We start from the raw sequence: 21482 nt of genomic DNA on the forward strand, positions 1-21482 counted from the left end.
AAGTTTCAGGGGAAAACCAAGAACCTAGAGAGGAGCGCTGGGGCCACTGTTGCTTGTGAGCATTTGCCAACCTGACAAGTTGGGCTTCGACCTTGGAGGGAGTAGGGGGGTAGACAGAGGTCAAGGTATGAGGAGGCTGATAGGGGATTCACCCCCATATCAAGCTGGGAGCCTGAAAGGCCTCACCTGGGTGAAGACAGAAGCAGAGATAACCCTGGTCCCTGCCCCAAAACAAGGAATTCATTAGCATTAAAAGGAGTGGGAGGAAAAAAGGAAAGGAAACTCACAGATTCAACCACAAAGAGCCTTGGATCTCCGGCGGACTTGGACCCCTCACCCATCACACCTGGGAGGCCCAGGGATGGTGGGGCTTCTGTGCACTTGGTTCCAGGTGGTCTGGGCTGTCCATGTGAAAGCAAACACCATCCTTGTGAGAAGGAACCTCTGTCTTTGGCCTCACGGAAACCCCACAGACACCCTTCCAAGGGCCCCAAGAAGCACACAAAGATATCCAAGTCTGAAAGGGAAGAAGGCACCATGAGTAAGAACCAGCAGACAAGCTAGCAGACACCCGCACAGTCTCCCCATATTTTTATACAATTACCAAACAAGACACTATGGTACATTTCAAACCATAATAGGAGAGATGGCCCATGTTCGGTGGCCAAGCATAGCACAGAGCTCCTCACTCCTCCAGGAATTCCACTGAAGGGTGGCAAGTTCTGGAGTTCAAGCCACTGGGGAGGCAACAGGAGTGCAAGTGGCCACGGTTCAGGCGCTGATGGGCAGAGGTGGGGAGGGGGCGCTCCCAAGGAGTCCACTGGGAGATGCAGGCAGGGGGCTTCCCAGGCAGCCTCACCAGCTTCCCTTCACACTGATCCCCTGTAAACGTGTGTCCGGCCTCGACGTAGGAGGAACAGGGAGAAACTGATTTTCTATTCATAAAATGTGCGCCTCTCTGCGCCTGCGCTGGCGCTGTGCGCCTTTGCGAGGGCGGAGCTGCGTTCTCCTCAACACAGACCCGGATTGCATCGTGAGGGCGAGCTGAGTTCTCCTCTGCACAGACTTCAGAGATACAGCGAAGGCGGAGCAGTGTTCTCCTCAGCACAGACCCGGGCGGACGGGTGGGCCGGGGGCACCGCAAGGGCGGAGCTGCGTTCTGCTCAGCACAGACCCGGGGGACACAGCGAAGGCAGAGCAGCGTTCTCCTCAGCACAGACCTTGGGAGCACTGCATCGCTTTGGGCAGAATAGGTGAATGAATGAATGAATGAATGAGTGTAATCACATGCCCTCCCTTTCCCTGTTTATCAAGCCTGGCATCACTTTAGAATCTCTTGTTAGAATTTATGACACCTAGGCTTTACCTCAGAACCTGAGAGTGGCACTCAGGTATAAGCACGTGTTTCCAAGCTCCCCAGGTATTCCATAGCACAGCCAAGTTTGAGACAGTGGGGTCTAAGAACCATGTAGAACTAATGAGAATCCTGAAGTGTCTGTGATAAAGGTAATAAGCTTTTTGTAAGATTACAGAGGACATAGATTAAGTTGGAAAGCCTGAGTGTTGAGATTCCTAGGCTCAGGAATTTTAATTTAACCAAAGTTAAATGTCTTAACTTGCAAAGACATGAATCTGTAGATTCCAGATTAATGGCAGGTGTGAATTGTACAATAGAAACTGATCTAGCCTACATGTCTTCTTGGACTGGCAGACTATGTTAATCTTTTTATTTTATGACAAGTTCAACATTATTCCCTTTTGTACTGAATTTTAGATTACTGATTTTGGGCACTCCAAGATTTTGGGAGAGACCTCTCTCATGAGAACTTTATGTGGAACCCCCACCTGCTTGGCTCCTGAAGTTCTTGTTTCTGTTGGGACTGCTGGGTATAACCGTGCTGTGGACTGCTGGAGTTTAGGAGTTATTCTTTTTATCTGGTAAGAAATATTTTCATTGCTTCACAGACTGGTAGGAGGTGATTAGATGAAGTCACAAATGTGTCTTGCTCTGTTGTCCAGGCTGGCATGCAGTGGCTTGATCTTGGCTAACTGTAGCCTCTGCCTTCTGGGTCAAGTGATCCTCCCATCTCAGCCTCCTGAGTAGCTGGGACTACATGCGCACACCACCATGCCCAGCTAATTTTTCTATTTTTTGTAGTGATGGGGTTTTGCCATGTTGCTCACGCTGGTCTTGAACTCCTGGGCTCAAGTGATCCTCCTGCCTCGGCCTCCCAAAGTGCTGGGATTACAAGCATGAGCCATTGTGCCCAGCCTAGCTCACTTTTTGACCATTGATTTAAAGAAAAATCTGACTTTTCATTATGCTGAAAAAGAAATCTTTATATCTGAATGCCACTGAGAATGCCACTTGATTTCTTTTCCTTTCTCTCTCTACCAATATTAAGCCTTAGTGGGTATCCACCTTTCTCTGAGCACAGGACTCAAGTGTCACTGAAGGACCAGATCACCAGTGGAAAACACAACTTCATTCCTAAAGTCTGGGCAGAAGTCTCAGAGAAAGGTATGAATATGAAAGGGTTAAGAATTTGTGGTATGCTAAAATGTGTGTGTCCTGTGGTGGGAGTTTCTTTCCAAATTCCATGGTGTTTTCTCCTGTCAATTCTGTTCTTATTTTCTATCGTTAGTTTCACACCATTTGAGAGGCACTGGAAATTATTAAGAGCATGCACTCAGGTCCTGGGTCTGCTACTACTTAGCTGTGTGGCCTTAGGCAAGTTATTTAACCTCCGTCTCCAATTTCTTTCTGTGTAAAGGGACCCTCAATAATCCCTACCTTAAAAGGTTTTTTGAGGGTTAGGTATAATGTAAACAAGTGCCTTGTACCTATTTTACTGAGCAAAATAAATGCATTTGTAACTTTTTAGTTACAAGGTTTCCTTTGAGTAAGCAAGCGTGTAAAAACTATATGTCTTTAGTTACCTTGTATTTTATAATTTGTCCTGGCAACTTTAGTTCCCTGAAGAGAAAATAGAAAATTAAATGTCAAATAACATAACATAGGTAATTGTGTTAAATGTCAGAATATTTCAGGAATAATAATGTTGTGATATACAGGCCAGCATGCATTTGTTGCTTGCTGGAGTAGTCAAGTTTTATTTCTGACAAGTCTGCAGTTCCAGGGAGCCTCTCCCTGGCTGAGTAACTGTCACCCATCCATCTGTAGATGTCAGGGAGAGTTTGCTGTGCATCCCAATTATCTTAGAATTGGGTAGAAGTTTAGCTTTAATTAGTTTGACCTTGAGTCTAGCAACAAGAGAGGGAACAGGCAGCGAAGAGGTCGTGACTGATGTCCCAGCAACAGGAGACAGGGAGTGTCATTATCATTCCTGGTCTTCTCACAGTACTCTGAATACAGAGAGTGAGGAAGATTAGGGGGCCCTGTCTGCTGACTCCCTGACGATCTCAGACCCTCTCTGCTCTTTCTGGATGGTGGCCTGTTAATTCTGGCATACTGTTACTGATAATATATTTATCCTTTTCACTGTGATTTGCCCAATTGTTGCTTCAGCTCTGGACCTTGTCAAGAAGTTGTTGGTAGTGGATCCAAAGGCATGTTTTACAACAGAAGAAGCCTTAAGACACTGTGGCTTCAGGTGGGTGTGGGACAGTGCCTGCTAGCATAAAATACATGGGAAGCCCTGCTGCCTGAGAGACATGAGACAGAGGACAGAAACATGTTTACTTTGTTGAATGTGTTTAATTGTTTTAGATGTATGGGGGGTATCTTGGACAGGTTACAACCTGTTTTTTTTTTTTTTTTTTTTGAGACAGGTTATCATTCTGTCACCCTGGCTGGAGTGCAGTGGCACAATCTCAGCTCACTGCAACCTCTGCACCCTGGGTTCAAGTGATTCTCCTGCCTCAGCCTCCCAAGTAGCTGGGATTAAAGGTGCATGCTACCACGCCCAGCTACTTTTTGTATTTTTTGTAGAGATGGGGTTTCGCTGTGTTGGCCAGGCTACAACCTTTTTGATATTACTCATGGCTGTTGGATGTACAAGCTCACTTTATGTCCTGTTCTGGTTCCACTTGGCTGCCCCGAGTCTCCAGTTTGGCCTGTGTTCTTTTGAGGGCTTGTTCTGGCTCTACTCCCAGCCATGTCCACTGCTCTTCATAGGTGGGGTGCATTCTAGCCATCTTCAACCTTAAATCAGGGAAGTGGGGGAGGGGGAGGAGGGCAGCCTCCCTGGGGAGAATCCAGCTATTTCTCAAGCCCAAGTGACTCGGTATAAAGGGTCCCACTGCTTGTTCATTCAGGTGAGTAAATGTGTCCTTAGTGAAGGCTGTCACCTGCACCTTTCATCTGTGTTACTGCTGTACTCCTGCTAGGGGTTGGGGCTGCCATTATTAAATGCTGACCTCATTTGGAACTGCCAAGAGTTGGAAGTACGTTGTGGCTTTGCTGGGTTAATCTTTAGTTTTGGAATTAGCTACGGCATTGGGCAGGTTTTTCTGATAGATGTCTGGTCTTCTGTAACGAGCAGTTCCATTCAGTACAGCCATGCCCCTTTCTATTAATTTTCTTTTGGTCTGTGTATTAGTCTGTTCTCACACTGCTATAAAGAACTGCCCAAGACTTGGTAATTTATAAAGAAAAGAGGTTTACTTGACTCACAGCTCCACATGGCTGGGGAGGCCTCAGGAAACTTACAATCATGGTGGAAGGGGTAGAAGGCATGTCTTAATGGCAGCAGGTGAGAGAGCTTGTGAAGGAAGTGAAGGGCAAAGAGCCTCTTATGAAACTGTCAGATCTCATGAGAACTCACTATCATGAGAATAGCCTGGGGGAAACTGCCCCCATGAGCCAATCACCTCTCAACAGGTCCCCTTCTCAACACCTGGAGATTACAATTTGAGATGAGATTTGGGTAGGGACACAAAGCCAAACTGTATCAATCCGTTTTCTGTGGAGATGGGGGACAGAACTGGTAGCTTGAGCTAGAGGCTGTTACTTGAGCTAAATGCTGTTTCTCTGGGGATTACTGGTCCAGGAACTCCTTGGGCAATCCAGCCTCAGCCCCGTACTTCTGGAACTCTGGGAAGACTGTCCCCATTCTCTGTTCTAATCCTCTACACCTAACAGTTTTGCTCAGGCCAGCTCAGGTTGAGAACAACAAAAACTTAAAAAAAAAGACAGATATATATATATATATATGTGTTTTGGATGTTGCCCTGGAAACTATAGTCTCCCCAGAAGAAATCTGTCAGATGATTTAGCATTTAATAGACCACAGAGATTTGAAACAGCGGGACCCTGGAGGAAAGGGGTTTGGAAACAAAGGGTGCCTTTGCATGTGGGGATTTTAATTTTGATGAGAAAGAGAAACATGTCTTTTGGCTCTTTTCATGTGTCCTAATAGGGAAACTCTTGGGTCTAAATGTAGAGGTACAGGAGCTGTGTTCATCTCTAGCAAAAAAATAGAGCTGGCCTGTTGAGCCTGGGAACAGGGTTTGCATCTGCCTGAAATTTATGAGCAAGCGTAGCCTATTTTTCTTGTACTTCTTTGTCTCAAAGAAAACTTATTAACAACCAAGGAGAAGGTGAAGTTCAACTCCGTTGCAGGATCTCCCTGGAATACTCTTTTAGCCACCTTTTGTTTTTGCAGTAAAAGGAGGAATGAGCATTGAATGAAGACAAGGATGAAGACTGACCATCTAAAACATCTGTTAGTGATAGTTTGGGTTTTATTTTGGGGAAATTCAGTGCTTTTGCAAAAACCAAATGGTTTTGTGGGTCTGGCGCTGGACTGAGTGTTGGGAATGTGGATTCTGGTCTCTGTTTTGTCATTAACAGAGTGGCCAGTTTTGGGATCATCCCTTACATCTACTCTCTGCTTCATATTTACTGCCTGAAATAGAGGATTTCTTCTGTTTGCTTTCAAGGGATATTATAATTTAATTTTTATTTTATTTATTGTTGGAGACAAGGTCTTCTTCTGTTCCCTAAACTGGAGTGCACTGGTGCAATTATAGCTCACTGCAGCCTCGACCTCCTGGCCTTAAGGGATCCTCCCGCCTCAGCCTCATAAAGTGCTTGGATAATAGGCATGAGCCACTGTTCCTAGCTAATTTAATATTTTGGAATAATTGTAGACATCATGAAGAAAATCAATGTTTATTTATTTATTTCCTTTTTTGAGATGGAGTCTCGCTTTTGTCTACCAGGCTGGAGTGCAATGGTGTGATCTCAGCTCACTGCGACCTCCATCTCTGGGTTCAAGTGATTCTCCTGCATCAGCCTCCCAAGTAGCTGGGACTACAGGTGCCTGCCACCATGCCCAGCTCATTTTTGTATTTTTAGTAGAGATGGGGTTTCACCATGTTGGTCAGACTAGTCTCGAACTCCTGACCTCAGGTGATCCACCCACCTTGGCCTCCCACAGTGCTGGGATTCCAGGCATGAGCCACTGTGCCTGACCTGATGACTTGGTTTAAATATAGGCCTGATTAGGCTTGTGACCACTCTGTTTGGCTTCACTGAAGGGCTGCCAAGAGATGGACTTTTGAGAGTGACACTGCAAGATAATTGAGATCCTAAGTAAAGCCGTGAGAGGGTGGGGAGAGGAATCCAGATGAGCTTGCTGCTGTCAAATGGCAATGGGGAGCTACACTGAGAAACTCAAAACATGGTGAACTCAAGTGTTCTGCCCTGCCTTGGCCTCCCAAAGTGCTGGGATTACAGGTGTGAGCCACTGTGCCTGGTCCTTCTTTCTTTCTCTTTCTTCCTCCTTCCTTCCCCCTCCCCTCTCCTCCATTCCTTTTTCCTCCCCTCTTTCATCCCCCCTCCCTTTTTCCTTCCTTGCTTCTTTCCTTCCTTCCTTCCTCAGGGTCTTGCTGTCTCACATAGGCTGGAGTGCAGTGGCATGATCACTGCACCATGACTTTCAGGCTCAAGTGATCCTCCTGCCCCAGCCTCCCAAGTAGCTGAGACTACAGGTGCATGCCACCATGTCTGGCTAATTTAATTTTTTTTTTTTTTTTTGGAGACAGAGTCGTACTCTTTTGCCCAGGCTGGAGTGCAGTGGTGTGATCCTGTCTTACTGCAACCTCCGCCTCTCGAGTTCAAGTGATTCTCCTGCCTCAGCCTCCTGAGTAGCTGGGATTACAGGCATGCACTACCACGCCTGGCTAATTTTGTATTTTTAGTAGAGATGGGGTTTAACCATGTTAGCCAGGCTGATCTTAAACTTCCGACCTCAGGTGATTCACCCACCTTGGCCTCCCAAAGTGCTGGGATTACAGGCGTGAGCCTCCATGCCTGGCCTAATTTTTAAATTTTTTTGTAGTGACAAAGTCCCAGTATGTGGCCCAGGCTGGTCTCAAATTCCTGGCCTCAAGCAATTATCCCACCTTGGCCTCCCAAAGTGCTGGGATTATAGGCATGAGCCACCATGCCCAACCTAGTGTTGTAAAATTTCCATATCCATCAAGTTGCCAAATGGTGGAGGACTTTGCTGTATCCTCTCCCTTTCCCCACTGTGGTATGCTTGGCTCAGTGGGAGGAGGGGCTGGAGTTGGGTGGGAAAGTACATGAGGCACTGGAATCAGATAACTCTGGGTCTGTATTCCGCACATGCCACCTGTGAGTGGCTGAGCTGGGCTTCTGGCCAGCACTCAAAGGCCACATTACTAGATATAGATGTTCCTTTCACCTTGCTGAAGATGGGGAGAGCTGCACCGGACCACCTCTCAGGGTTTCCTAATGCAAATCCTTGAACCCTGCAGAAGTGAGCATCCAGAGAGGTGGGAGCTACCCGTATACACACTGTCTGTGCCCTGCTCATCTCCCGTTCCTGCAGCATGAAACACCTGTAATGCTTTGTTCTGTTTATTGTCTCCCTTTCTCATTAGACCTGAACTCTGGGATACTGTGGGCTTAAGTACTTCTGAAAATTTCTATGGCATCTGCTGGGTGAATTTTCCTAGGGTGCTGGGCTGGTTGTTAAGACAGCCTGGGTGACTGGCCTCATTCATGGCAGGGGCAGCAGGTGGAGAGCGGTCCTGGAAGGATTTGAGGAGCTGCACGGAGTGAGACCCAGCCCCTGGCCCCTGATTGTCACCTTTCTCAGGATCTGGGATGCTAATTCAGAAACTCTTGACTGCTGGAGGCTGTGATTGACCCACTGAGAGCTTTTAGGCATGTGGATGTGACTCAGCCAGGATCGATGGAGCATTGACTGCTGATTGGACTCCTGTGGGAAGGTAGAGGGGGGCAACACATAATGCCTTCACTGTGGGAGCTTCATCAAGGGGATGATTCTTGGACGGACATCTTTTCCTCCCTCTTTCCACAGAGGCATGCTAGCCCTGTCATTCTAGGAGTTTATTATCCTTCAGACACAGCTACTTATGTTTTTAATTCCCTCACAGGATGAAGACATGAAGAGAAAGTTTCAAGATCTTCTGTGTGAGGAAAATGAATCCACAGCTCTACTCCAGGTTCTAGCCCAGGTATTCGTATTCCTGATGATCACTAAATGTAGTCTGGGCTTAAGGAGATGATAAGCAAAGATGATGAAATTCAAGATTTTCCTGAGTAGCAATTGCTTAACATTGTTTCAGTTATAATGTAGTAGAAACTCTGTTTGAACTTGATTCACTCCAGCACCCTTAGATTTAAAAACGCAGGATATGTTTAATATCTAACACATAATAGACAGATAAGCACAGCTAGGGATTGTCATCCAAAAGGTCACCTGCAAGGCAATTTCGAAAGACTCTATTAGGGGCTCAAATATAAATTTGTTGGAAAAATTAAAATTTGGGTCAGTAGTTGATTCCTTGATTACAAGTTTATTCTTTAAAGTTCTTTGTGAGTATAAGTTAATTCCAGTCCTACTTTGTTGTTGTTGTTGTTGTTGAATGGTAGCTGTCCTTTTTCCCACTGTTTCCTCCCCGCTGCCCCGATTTTTATTTTCTTGAGACAGAGTCTTAGTCTGTCACTCGGGCCAGAGTGCAGTGGTGCAATCTCAGCTCACTGCAACCTCTGCCTCCTGGGTTCAAGCAGTTCTCCTGCCTCAGTCTCCCGAGTGTCTGGGACTACAGGTGTCCACCACTGCGCCCAGCTAATTTTTGTATTTTTAGGTGAGATGGGGTTTTGCCATGTTGGTCAGGCTTGTCTCGAACTTTTGACCTGAAGCGACCTGCCCACCTCGGCTTCCCAAAGTGCTGGGATTACAGGCGTGAGTCACCGCACCCAGCCTTCCTCCCAATTTTATATATGGGAAAACAACTAAGGCACAAAGGTTGTCTTCCCGCAAAAGACCAAGACTTGGGGCTTCAACTGAGAGGTATTATAGTCCTTTTAAACTTGATATTTAGAAGAGGACGATCAAGAGGAAGTTGGTTATGCTACTTGCTTTCAGTATACATCGTTCAGAGGTCAGAAGCCATAGGGAGAGAAATATCTATTAGATAAGCATGTCTGAGTTGCGGGCTGTGGTGAGGACTCAGTTGTCAATGATGACGACCAGTAATTTTTGGTACTAGAATTTCACATCAAATGCCCCCACTTTACTGGAAGTATATTGAGGAACTTTGATAATCTTAAAGAAGCCAGTGATTTTCTTTTGAACATTTCTCCATTTTCCTTTATTTTCAGCCTTCTACTAGTCGAAAGTGGCCTCATGAAGGGGAAGCCGAGGGTGCCGAGACCACAAAGCGCCCGGCTGTGTGTGCTGCTGTGTTGTGAACTCCATGGTTTGAACATGAAAGAAATGTACCTTCTTTCACTCTGTCATCTTTCTTTTCTTTGAGTCTGTTTTTTATAGTGTGTATTTTAATTATGGAAATAATTGCTTTTTCACAGTCACTGATGTACAATTAAAAACCTGATGGAACCTGGGCTTTGTGCTTCTGCTTGATAATCGGTTCTTTAGTTGAATGGCTTTGTTATTTATTTATTTGAGACGGAGTCTCACTCTGTTGCCCACCCTGAAGTGTAGTGGTGCAAGCTTGGCTCACTGCAACCTCTGCTTCCCAGGTTCAAGCGATTCTCGTGCCTCAGCCTCCCGAGTAGCTGGGATTACAGGTATGCACCACCATGCCCAGCTAATTTTTATATTTTTTTGTAGAGACAGGGTTTTGCCATGTTGGCCAGCCTGGTCTTGAACTTCTGATCTCAGGTGATCCACCTGCCTCGGTCTCTCAAAGTGCTGGGATTACACACGTGAGCCACTGCGCCTAGCCTGAATGGCTTTTTTATATTTAAAGTTGTTGTGTGCCTTTCATCTGGAGCTACACCTTGGCTATCACTAGGCAGGTTTCCCAGGATGTCACCCTGGTCTCAGCCTGTGAGAGCTGAATACAAATTCTAAGGGCCCCTTGGAAAGTTCCGGGAAAAGGAGCATAGCAAGGTTGGGGGTGGAGTTTGTAGAGACTGGCTGGCTGGCTGCTGACATCTTCATGAGAACAGCAGGTACCTTGGTGCATAATAACAGGCCAGGTTATATTCTCATCCTTGCCCTCATAAAGATACAGGTCTACAGTCTCTGAAACCTTTGGGCTAGATAAGTTGTGAAATTTAATTACCCAATTTTAGGAAGGTGGTAAGGCATATCTACTATGTGTATGTGTAGCACCTCAGCGGAGTCCTACACATGTGGAGTCCTACCCCAGTGGAGACCAAACATGTTAATATTTCCACAGCAAATATTCACAGCAAGAGGGATAGAGAAAGATTATAGGTAGTTGCATATTGATTCATATCAGTCTTTTCTTCCAAATGAGCTACAATGACTCGTTTTTGAGAGCTGTTTGGGTTTTGGAAGTGGAGATAAGGCATGGTTCTGTCTTGTTGACCCAATAATGACCAGGGAAGCCCTGTGCAAAGACTTACCCTTGGCTGCTCTTGTCCTCACAGTGATTTTATGAGTGAGGTCCTCTAGCCACTGTCATGTCACAGGTGAGGAAACCAAAGTTAGAGGACGAAGGTAACTTTTCTGATGTCACACAGCTGGTAAATGGCAGAGCTGGGACCCAACCCAGGTCTTTTTGACTCTAATGTTCCTTATTGTCCACTGAATCTGCTTTTATAACTTTGCTTGGTTGATGCTAGGACACTTTGTAGCTCGCTGGCCATGCCATGAATTGAGTGCCGTGGTTCAATGGCCACTGGCGATTCAGTCAGGGCAGAATCAAGGGCACACAGCCATTTCCTTAGGAAATGGGGATGTGGTTGGAAATTTCTATTAAAGGGTATATAAGCATTCTGAGACTTGGCTGGCCTGGTGTAGGGGGTTTGTTGGGAATTTAGTTGGTTTGCATGTTTAAAGGAATAAGGCTGAGATTGCCCTAGATGGGTTTTAGCTCATTTGAATATTTAATGTGGAGGCTGTGGTTTCCTGGGACATTTTTCCCGCTGTGGAGAGTTAGCCACCTTTTCTCTGTTTCTTTTTTCTTTTTTTTTAATCGAGATGAAGTCGTATGCTTGTTGCCCAGGCTGGAGTGCAATGGTGCGATCTCGGCTCACTGCAACCTCCGCCTCCTGGGTTCAAGCGATTCTCCTGCCTCAGTCTCCTGAGTAGCTGGGACTACAGGTGCACACCACCATGCCTGGCTAACTTTTGTATTTTTATTAGAGATGAGGGTTTCACCACGTTGGCCAGGATGGTCTCGAACTCCTGACCTCAAATGATCTGCCTGCCTCGGCCTCCCAAAGTGCTGGGATTACAGGTGTGAGACACCACGACCGGCAAAATTTTTTAAGATACATTTCAGTAAGCTAAGGTTAATTTATTGAAGAAAAGCTTTAAAAATTTTTGGTGTAGCCTAAGCATATGGTGTTTATAAAGTCTACAGTAGTGTACAGTAAGGTCCTATGCCTTCACACTCACTGACTCACCACAGCATCTTCCAGTCCTGCAAGCTCCTTTCATGGTAAGTGCCCTATACAGGAGTACCATTTTAAAATCTCTTATACTCTATTCTTACTGTACCTTCTCTATGTTCAGGTACACAAGTACTTACATTGTGTTACAACTGCTTATAGTATATTCAGTAAAGTATCAGGCTGTACAGGTGTGTAGCCTAGGAGCAATAGGCTACACCATACAGCCTAGGTGTGTAGTAGACTGTACAAGGCTATACAAGGTTTGTGTAAATGCACTTTGCTGTTTGCACAATGATGCAATCACCTAAGGAGGCATTTCTCAGAACCATCCCGTGATTAAGAGAGGCATGATCGTACAGTCATCATCTCCCTGAAAGCTCAGTCAGCCCTGTGCAGTGCTACTGCCACACTCCCCTTTTGCACATGTAGAAATCAAGGATCTTTGGCTCCTCTGAGTGACTTGTTCCAGGTTTCTCAGTTTTCAAGAGATGGAGGTGGGACTCGAATTGAGATTTCCCTTTCTTGAGAACCTGTGGTCCTTAACCATTAAAACCACTTAAGAGGTCTTCTCTCTCGATCACTACCTACTAAGTGCTAGGCGCGGTGCTGAGGCGTTCTCTTGATTATTATATTGAGTCTTTAGATTTAGGAGAAACAGGCCGAGCGCGCTGACTCACGCCTGTAATCTCAGCACTTTGGGAGGCCGAGGCAGGAGGATCATGAGGTCAGGAGATGGAGACCATCCTGGCTAACACTGTGAAACCCCATCTCTACTAAAAATACAAAAATTAGCAGGCGTGGTGGTGGGCGCCTGTAGTCTCAGCTGCTCGGGAGACTGAGGCAGGAGAATGGCGTGAACCCGGGAGGCGGAGCTTGCAGTGAGCCGAGATCACGCCACAGCACTCCAGCCTGGGTGACAGAGCGAGACTGTCTCAAAAAAAAAAAAAAAAGATTTAGGAGAAACAAGTCCCGAAGCCCTGACCCTAACACGCAAGGGTTAGTGGAGATGTGGGACTTGAACTCAGCTTCTCCGTTGAGTCTGGCTGTCACCGGGACGCAGGCACGTGCTTGCACACCTCCACGGTGGCGATCCCACCCCCTTAGTAGCGTCCTTAGCTCGGCACTTCTTGCGGGGAAGTTCTTCTTGGCCCAGACCCTCGTCCTAGGCCCCGCGCCATGGGGGAAGTGAAAGGGGCAGTGTGGGGAAATGGCCGAGAGGTCGGGTCAGGGGTGGTCTGCAGAGAGGCAGGCGGCGGTGCTGAGTCGGGAACCGCGCGCTCACCCGCCCAGTCGGACGGTTCCGGCGCGGGTGGGTGAGACACTGGGAACAGCGGCCAGCTGCAGAGGGCCCGAGGCCGGGCGCGCGGGAGCGGGGCGCGTCGAACGCGCGCGTGCGCGGTTCGTGTGTGGGCCTGCGGGGGCGTGCGCGGTTGGGGGGCAGTGAGGGTCGCCGCGGCGGCGCGCAGCACGGCGGGAACATGGCGCGCGGAACCGGCGCACGCGCCTAGCTGGTGGGACCGTTAGCTCGAGGCGGACGCGGCCCGGACCCCGTGGATATGGAGCAGTGGCCGCCGCCGGCGCCCGAGCCGGCCCAAGGGCCGACCCCCGCAAGGAGCTGAAGGCGGCGGGAGACCGAGTCGGCGCCGGTGAGTGCGTGAGGGACTCGGGCCGGGAGACTTTCTTTGTCAAACTCCGGCGGTGGGAGCCGGGCCGGGCCTCAGCGACTGAGGAGCGCCTGCGAGGCGGAGGGTGTCTCGCAGTCCGGGTTCGATCCCAGCCGCGAGCCGTCAGGCGACAGGACATGGTCGGCCGCCTGCCTGCCTCAGTTTCCGCGAGAGTGTGTGTGGGTGTGTGTGGGTGTGTATGGGTGTTGGCCTGCACACACCGGGGGTGGGGGGTTCGGTATACAGTCGGCGCCTAATGCGCGCGGTGCCTCCCCCCTCCCCCCAGTCCCCGTGGGGCGGAAGCTGGGGACTGGAGTCCACCAGAGCAGTAGGCGGCACCCGCGGGGAGACAGGTGTCGGCGCAGCCCGGGAGGATCAGGTGCTACCTCTCCCGGGTGGGGTTTGTGAGGAGTGAGCTCTTCGTCCCCAGTGGCGAGCAAGTCTGTCGGTGGCTCATCACAGAGCACTGTTTTGGAAAGCGTTCCACCCACCTCAGCTTCGTGCTGTGTTTGGGCCACTAGTCAGGGGGAAGGATGCTGAGCGACATGGACTTTAGAGGTGGGGCTCCCGCTGGACGGGATGGCTCTGGGCTCTCGAGCTTACCCCCACCCTTGTCTCCTAAACCCGTTAGAGTGTAGGAATCATTGGGAGCACCTGATAAAAATGCCACGGATTGTGGCTCACCAAAGCAGGGAAGCCGATTTGGAACTTAAACAAGCTCCCAAGTTGTGATCAGTCGAGCTTGGCAAGCACTGTTTTAGAGAGTAGGCTTCCTGCAAGCAGGAGCTGTTTTTGTGTATACCTCACCATGGCATCTTGGTACCTGGCATGGTGCCTGGCACACGGTAGATGATCAGAAAATATCTGTAGAAAGTCTAAATTATTAGGGAGAGTGCAACATAGGAGTTCTTGAGACATTTTCAGGAGCTTCTTGAGATTAATATCTGTCAGATTTGTTTTACAGTATATGATTTTTCTCAGCTCCCAACTTTTGTGATTGTTTTTAATGCCATGTTTTCAGTATGTTCTAGGCAAAAGCAGGGTATATGTTGCTTAGTATACACTATCCACTAGGCCGGGTGCGGTGGCTCACTCCTGTAATCTCAGCACTTTGGGAGGCAGATTGCTTGAGCCCAGAGGCTTGAGGCTGTAGTGAGCCAAGGAGTTAGAGACAGGTGTGGGAAACATAGCGAGACTCGTCTCCGCAAAAATTAGCTGGGTGTGGTAGCGTGCACTTGCAGTCCCAGCTACCCTGGAGGCTGAGGTGGGAGGATCGCTTGAGCTCAGGAAGTACAAGTTGCAGTGAGCCAAGGTTGTGCCACTGCATTCCAGTCTGGATAATACAGCGAAACCCAGTCTCTTAAATAAGTAAATAAATACATAAATGATTATGTATACTCCAGCTAGGTTAAAATTAATTCTAAATCAAAATTCTAAATTAAAATATGCATATTTCTTTCTCTTCATCATTTGAGAACACTAGGCTTTTAGGATTTCATTCCGTTGGGGCAGGTAAATATCTACATTTTTGACAAAGCAAATATGAATTACTGTTAATTCAAGAAAGGTGGGAATTTGCTTAAACCTGAGTATTTGTAGTCTGTGATTTTTTTAAATTTTAAATGTAAATTTTCTTTTTTTTTTTCTTTTTTTTTGAGATGGAGTCTCACTCTGTCGTCCAGGCTGGAGTGCAGTAGCACAATCTCAGGTCACTACAACCTCCACCTCCCGAATTCAAGCGATTCCCCTGCCTCAGCCTCTGGTGTAGCTGGCATTACAAGTGTGTGCCACCATGCCCAGCGAATTTATGTATTTTTAGTAGAGAGGAGGTTTCACTATGTTGCCCAGGCTGGTCCCAAACTCCTTGACCTCAAGTGATCTGCCCACCTTGGCCTCCCAAAGTGCTGGGATTACAGGCATGAGCCATGGCACCTGGCCTTATTTTTATTTTTTTGAGACAGAATCTCAGGCTGCCACCCAGGTTGGAGTGCTGTGGCATGATCTCCACTCACTGCACCCTCCACCTCCCAGATTCCAGTGATTCTAATGCCTCAGCTTCCTGAGTAGCTGGGGTTACTAGACCCGGCTAATTTTTGTTGTATTTTTTTAGTAGGGACTGGGTTTCCCTATGTTGGCCAGGCTGCTCTGGAACTCCTGGCCTCTAGTGATCCACCTGCCTCGTCCTCCCAAAGTGCTGGAATTACAGGCATGAGCTACTGCTCCCAGCCAATCTTTGTGACATTTTGAAATTGAGGTTTATATTTTGTTCAGAGTCAAAGCTAAAATAGAATTGTTTGAAAATTAATATTTCAGGAACTGTTTTTTAATTAAGTTGAATTTTATTTTATTAGTTTCATTTCAGTAGGGTTTTAACTTAAAAAATATATAAATATATGTGTGTGTGTGTGTGTATAAATATATATATATATATATATATATATATTTTTTTTTTTTTTTTTTTTTCCCCTGACACGGAGTCTTGCTCTGTCACCCAGGCTGGAGTGCAATGGCATGATCTTGGCCTCACTGCAGCCTCCACCCTCCCAGCTCAAGCAATTCTTCTGCCTTAGCCTCCCGAGTAGCTGGGACTACAGGTGCCTGCCACCACACCCAGCTAATTTTTATATTTTTAGTAGAGATGGGGTTTCACCATGTTGTCCAGGCTGGTTTTGAACTCCTGATCTCAAATGATCTGCCCTCCTTGGCCTCCCAAAGTGCTGGGATTACAGGCGTGAACCACTGTGCCTGGCCTAAAAAATATTTTTAAAGACAGGATCTAGCTGTGTTGCCTCAGCTGGTCTTGAACTCCCAGTCTTGGCCTCAAGTGATCCTTCTGCCTCAGCCTTCTGAGTAGCTGGAAGCACAGCTGTGAGCCACCACACCTGGCTTTTTTTTATTTCTAATAAAAAATTAATAGAGTGTCTTGTTTCACTGGACAAAATACGCATATATAGGAAGGAAAGACTTTTGGACTTGAGATTGCGCTGAAGAAGAAAAATGGAAAAATTAGGCATTTTAGTCTCTCAGTATGTTATTTTTGTAGCTTATACAGATATGTCTTTTTAAAGTGTCTTTAAAAAGCTTTATTGAGATAAAGATAAATGAGATAAATTCACCTACCATGAAATCAACCCCTTGAGTGCAGAATTTTGTGGTTTATAATATATTCACAGAATCGCACAAACAAGACAGGTATCTAGATACTTTCAGACCATTTTCATCAGTCCACAAGAAATCCCATACCCATTAGCAGTCATCCTTATTCCCTTTTCCCCTAGTCCCTGGCAATAACTAGCCTACTTTCTGTCTCTGAGTTTAGCTCTTCTGGAGGTTTCACAGAATGAAATCTTACTACATATGGTCTTTTGTGATTGACTTATTTCACTTGGCACAGTGTTTTCAAGGTTTATCCATGCTGTAGCGTATATCAGCACTTCATTCTTTTTTAATGCTGAGTAATCTTTTGAATGGATATACCATATTTTATTAGTTCCTCTGTTGATAGGCACTTGAGTTTTTTTTCCAATTTTTGGCTATTATGAACAATGCTGCTATGAACATTTGTGTACAAATTTTAGTGTGGATGTATATTTTCATTTCCCTTGGGTATATCCCTAAGGAATAGACTATCTGGGTCATATGATAATTGTTTAAGACTACAGGCACGTGCCACCACACCTGGCAAATGTTTAAAAATTTTTTGTAGATAAAGGGTCTCGCTGTGTTGCCCAGGCTGATCTTGAACTCCTGGCCTCAAGAGATCCTCTCACCTCAGCCTCCCAGAAAGTGTTGGGATTACAGATGTGAGTCACTGCACCTATAAAAGAGGCTCATACCTCTTTTTACATATTTTTTTTGAGACAGGGTTTCACTCTGTTGCCCAGGCTGGAGTGCAGTGGTGGGATCACAGCTCACTGCAGCCTGGACCTCCCTCCATATGATTCTAGCTGTGGGTGTCTTTCCTGTAGTTTTTATTATGTTGTGGTATGTTTCTTCTGTACCCGTTTCTTTGAGGATTAATAGCATGAAGGATGTTGAATTTCACCAAATGCTTTTTCAGTTTCAGTTGACATGATCATACTGTTTTTGTCATTTATTTGATTGATATGATGTATCACATTGTATGTTGAGTGACCCTTGCATCCCAGGGATACATCGCACTTGATCATGATGAATTATCTTTTTAATGTATTACTGAATTTGATTCACTGGTATTTTGTTGAGGATTTTTGCATCAATATTTGAAATACTGGCCTGTAGTTTCCTTCTTTGATGCCTTTGTCTGATTTTGGTAGCACAGTAATAATGGTCTCATAGAATAAGTTTGGAAGTATTCCCTCCTGTTTTTCAAAATAGTTTGAGTAGGATTCGTACTAGGTCTTTAAATTGTTTGTTGTGAAGCCATCAGCAGTGAAGACATCAGTTCCTGGGCTTTTCTTTACTGGGAGACTTTTTCTGATGGCTTCAATCTCATTTCTTGTTACCAATCTGTTTTGGTCTTGGATGTTTTCATTATTCAACCTAAGTAGGTGTATACAACCTAAGTAGGTGTATTCCTAGATGTATGCATCTAGGAATTTGCCAATTTCTACTAGGCTTTCCAATTTATTGGCATATAATAGCCAGTTATGATCCTTTGAATTTCTGAAGTATTAGTTGTAATGTCTCCTTTTTTTTAATCTGTTGATTTTATTTATTTGAATCTTTTCTCTTTTTTCTTAGTTAGCCTGGTTAAAAGTTTGTCAATTTTGTTTAGCTTTCCAGAAAACCAACTTTTCATTTAATCATATGTGTTTTTTATTTCAATTTTATTTCTGCTATGATCTTATTTATTTTCTTATTTTCGGTTTAGTTTGTTTTTACTTTAATAGTTCTTTAAGATGTATTGTTTATTTAAAGTTTTTCTTTTGTTTGGATGGTAGGCACTTATAGCTGTAAATCTCTGCCTTTGTACTGCTTTCTGCATAACAAGTTTTGGTATACTGTGTTTTCATTACCCTTTGTTTCATGAAATTTTTGAATTTCTGTCTTAGTATCTTCATTGACCCACTAGTCATTTATTCAGGAGGGTAGTGTTTAACTTCCATGTGATTGTATTGTTTCCAAAATTACTCTTCTTATTGATACCTAGTTTTATTCCTTTGTAGTCAAAGAAGATGGCCACGGAGACAGCAGCGTGGTCAGAGTGGTAGGAGCCGGCCATCAGCGAGAGCTGCTCCATGCCTGGCTGCTGGGTGCTACAGCCTGTGGCCCACTGGCTTGCCTCACTGTGGTTGGTGGTGGCGGTGACAGAGACTGCAGCACGACCAAAGTGGTAGGACAGGGGCTATCCAGGGCTGCACCTTTCGCAGTGTGGGGTGGGTTGGGGGCGCTATCCAGGGTGTCATTGCCTGCATTAGGGGTACTGGTTGGTAGCACTGTACAGGGCTTCACTGCACATGGCAGGGAGGGTGGGTTATGGGTGCTTTCTGGGACTGCAATGCCCATGGAGAAGGACAGGTTAGGGCACTATCAGGTATACGCTACTGGTGGCATTGGGGGATGGAGGTGGGGGGAGCTATTGAGGGCAGGACTAGCCGTGGAGAGGGGTGAGTTCAGTGCTATCAGGGGCTGCACTGCTGGCGGCGGTCAGCAGAGTTGGCATCCAAGGAAGGAGTGGTTCTCCTCTCCCTGACTCCACACTCCAGAGAGCGACCCACTCTTGGTCATACTGGGGTGCGGCAGGCGCACAGCGTTTGCGTGGGAATCCTGAGCGTGGCAGAGCCCCCACACCCACCGTGGTTCCTGGGCCTGTGCACTCTGGGTCTGTGCCTCAGAGGCTGCCAGGCACCCCTGGGGACACCACGGGGGACAGGGCCCTGTGTGTGGAGGCGTCCGGAACAGGAATTGGCACCTGGGTGCGGAGGGCTGTCTGGGTCTGAATTTTTCTGCTTCTCCTACTCCCTGAGGAGTGCAGCCCTGGTGGGCCCAATGGTTCCTGTGGAGTGGGGAGCTGGGTGCTGTGGTGTCTCCAGCACCCACCCCAGACCCCAGTTCCTGGCCAGCTTGGGCCAAAGGGAGAGGCTGGACTTTGGAGGGTGGGTGTGAGTGCCTTTGCTGAAACTGGCCCCTGCCACCCAGTGGCTGGCATGACAAGGTGAGGCTCTAACCCTTCCACCCCTCACATCTTCCTCTAGGCTTTTCTGGCTTTGCCCGCCCAGCTGCTCCATGCCAGGAGGAGGAGGAGACACCTAGAGCCTGCGACACCACGGCTCGCCTCGCTGCGGGAGGGTGGCATCAACGGAGACTGCAGTGCACCAGAGTGGTAGGAGAGCGGCCGCACTAGGAGGGCAGGTGGCTGCAGCCAGGGTTGGGGGTCAGGCTTACAGCAATGGACGGGCTGCAGCAGTGGCCAGGTGGTAGGAGCCTTGTAGGGAGGGCTGGCGCATTGGCAATGGCTTTGCCCTGCCCATGCCGTGGATCTGACCCTGTACTGCCCTGCCTTGCCCTGTACCTGCCCTACTGTTACCTGGACTGTCTCGGCCCTGTCCTACTCTGGTCCCATCCTGACCCTGTCTTGGCCCTGTGCTACCCTGTCCTTGCCCTGGTCTTGCCCTGGCACTGGCCCTGCCCTGAACCTGCCCTGGCCTGACCTTGGCTCTGGCCCTGGCTCTGGCCCTGCCCCTTGTCCTGACCCTGGTGCTGTCATGGCACTGGCCCTGCCAATGGTCATGGTCCTGCTCCTGTTCTGGCCCTGACCTGGCCTTGGACATGTCCTGGCCCTGCTTTGGCCCATCCCTGCCCTGGCCCCACCATAGGCCTGCCTGTTCTACCCTCTCCTGGCACTGACCTTGCCCTGTCATGGCCTAGTGGTGCCATTGCCCTGCCTTACCCTGTGCTGGTTGTGCCTTGGCCCTGCTTGGTGCTGGCCGCTCCCTGGACCTGCCCTGACCCTGCCTTGGCTTTTGCCCTGCCCTCACTATGGCCTGGCCCTGACCCTAGCCCTGGTCCTGCCATATCCCTGGCCCTGCCCTTATCCAGGCCCTGGCCCTGCTGCTGGCCTGGAACCTGGTCCTGTCAAGGACCTGCCCTGACTCTGCCATGGCCCTGGCCCTGCTCTGCCTTGTTCCTGGCCCTGACCCAGACCCAGACCCTTTCCTGGCTCTGCACTGGCCTTTCCGTGGTCCTGAGCTGGCAGTGGTCTGCCCCTGGTCTTGCCATCACCCTGCCCTGCTGTGCTCTGGATGTGTCATCACCCTGACCTGGCCCTACTCTGCCTTTGACCCTGCCCTGGCCTTACCTTGGCCCTCACCCTAGTCTTCACTAGGCCCTGCTCTGGAGCTGGCCCTAGCACAGACCTGGCCCTGACTCTGGCCCTGGTCTTTGTCCTGCCATAGCCCTGGCCCTGAAGTGAACTTCGAGGTGTCCTGGCCCCGGCGTAACATAGCTCTGCATTGGCATGTCCCTGCCCTGCCGCTACCATTGCCTTGCCCTGCTCTGCCCTGTCCCAGTACTGACCTGGCCATGCTATTTCCCTGCCCTACCCTGCCTTGGCTGTGCCCTGGCTCGGTTCTGGCCCTGGCCCCGGCCCTGCCCTGGACATGCTCTGACACTGCCTCAGCCTCGGCACTAGCCTGGCTCTTCTTTGGCATCAGCTCTGCTCTCTGTGTGGACCGGCTCTTGTCCTGTCCTGCACTGGCCATACCATGCCCTGCCCTGCCCTGCCCGACTCAGCCCTGGCTCAGCCCTGGCCCAGCCTTGGCCTTGGCATTGCCCCTGGTCCTGCCATATTTCTTGCCCTGTCCCTACCCTGGCCTTGGCCCTGACCCTTACCTTGCCCTGGCTCTGCCCTTGCCCTAACGCAGCCCCTGGCCCTGTCATGGCCCTGCCCTGGACCTGTCCTGGCCCTGGCCCTTCCCTGCTTGAGACCTTGCCCTGGTTCTCCCCTGGCCCTGACCCTGAAATGCCTGGCCCTACCCTGGCCTTGC

At 48.2% G+C, this 21482-nt stretch overlaps 1 protein-coding gene and 1 pseudogene across 2 annotated transcripts in view, besides 2 other annotated features; both read left to right on the top strand.

Annotated features, from left to right (window-relative positions):
• The first annotated feature begins 1022 nt into the window (after positions 1-1022).
• CHEK2P2 (CHEK2 pseudogene 2) lies at positions 1023-9837 on the top strand (annotated as a pseudogene). Its single transcript, NR_038836.1, has 6 exons — positions 1023-1253; positions 1775-1938; positions 2434-2521; positions 3530-3614; positions 8392-8472; positions 9623-9837. The product of NR_038836.1 is annotated as a CHEK2 pseudogene 2 (transcript).
• Positions 13443-13942: an enhancer, noted in NCBI's record as "H3K4me1 hESC enhancer chr15:20500417-20500916 (GRCh37/hg19 assembly coordinates)". NCBI's record gives its function as "activates a minimal SCP1, AML or CMV promoter by ChIP-STARR-seq in naive H9 embryonic stem cells {active_cell/tissue: H9 hESC(naive)}" and the evidence as "EXISTENCE:reporter gene assay evidence [ECO:0000049][PMID:30033119]".
• LOC124903442 (uncharacterized) overlaps positions 13932-21482 on the top strand; it is a 36475-nt gene continuing 28924 nt past the window's right edge. Inside the window, exons 1-3 of the mRNA XM_047433398.1 lie at positions 13932-14073; positions 18663-18829; positions 19692-19819. Coding sequence (XP_047289354.1) covers positions 14049-14073; positions 18663-18829; positions 19692-19819 — 320 coding nt within the window. The 5' untranslated portion in view covers positions 13932-14048. The remainder of the gene's footprint in view (positions 14074-18662; positions 18830-19691; positions 19820-21482) is intronic.
• Positions 20235-20734: an enhancer, noted in NCBI's record as "H3K4me1 hESC enhancer chr15:20507209-20507708 (GRCh37/hg19 assembly coordinates)". NCBI's record gives its function as "activates a minimal SCP1, AML or CMV promoter by ChIP-STARR-seq in primed H9 embryonic stem cells {active_cell/tissue: H9 hESC(primed)}" and the evidence as "EXISTENCE:reporter gene assay evidence [ECO:0000049][PMID:30033119]".

This window comes from Homo sapiens, chromosome 15, assembly GCF_000001405.40.
Source record: "Homo sapiens chromosome 15, GRCh38.p14 Primary Assembly".
Lineage (NCBI taxonomy): Eukaryota > Metazoa > Chordata > Mammalia > Primates > Hominidae > Homo > Homo sapiens.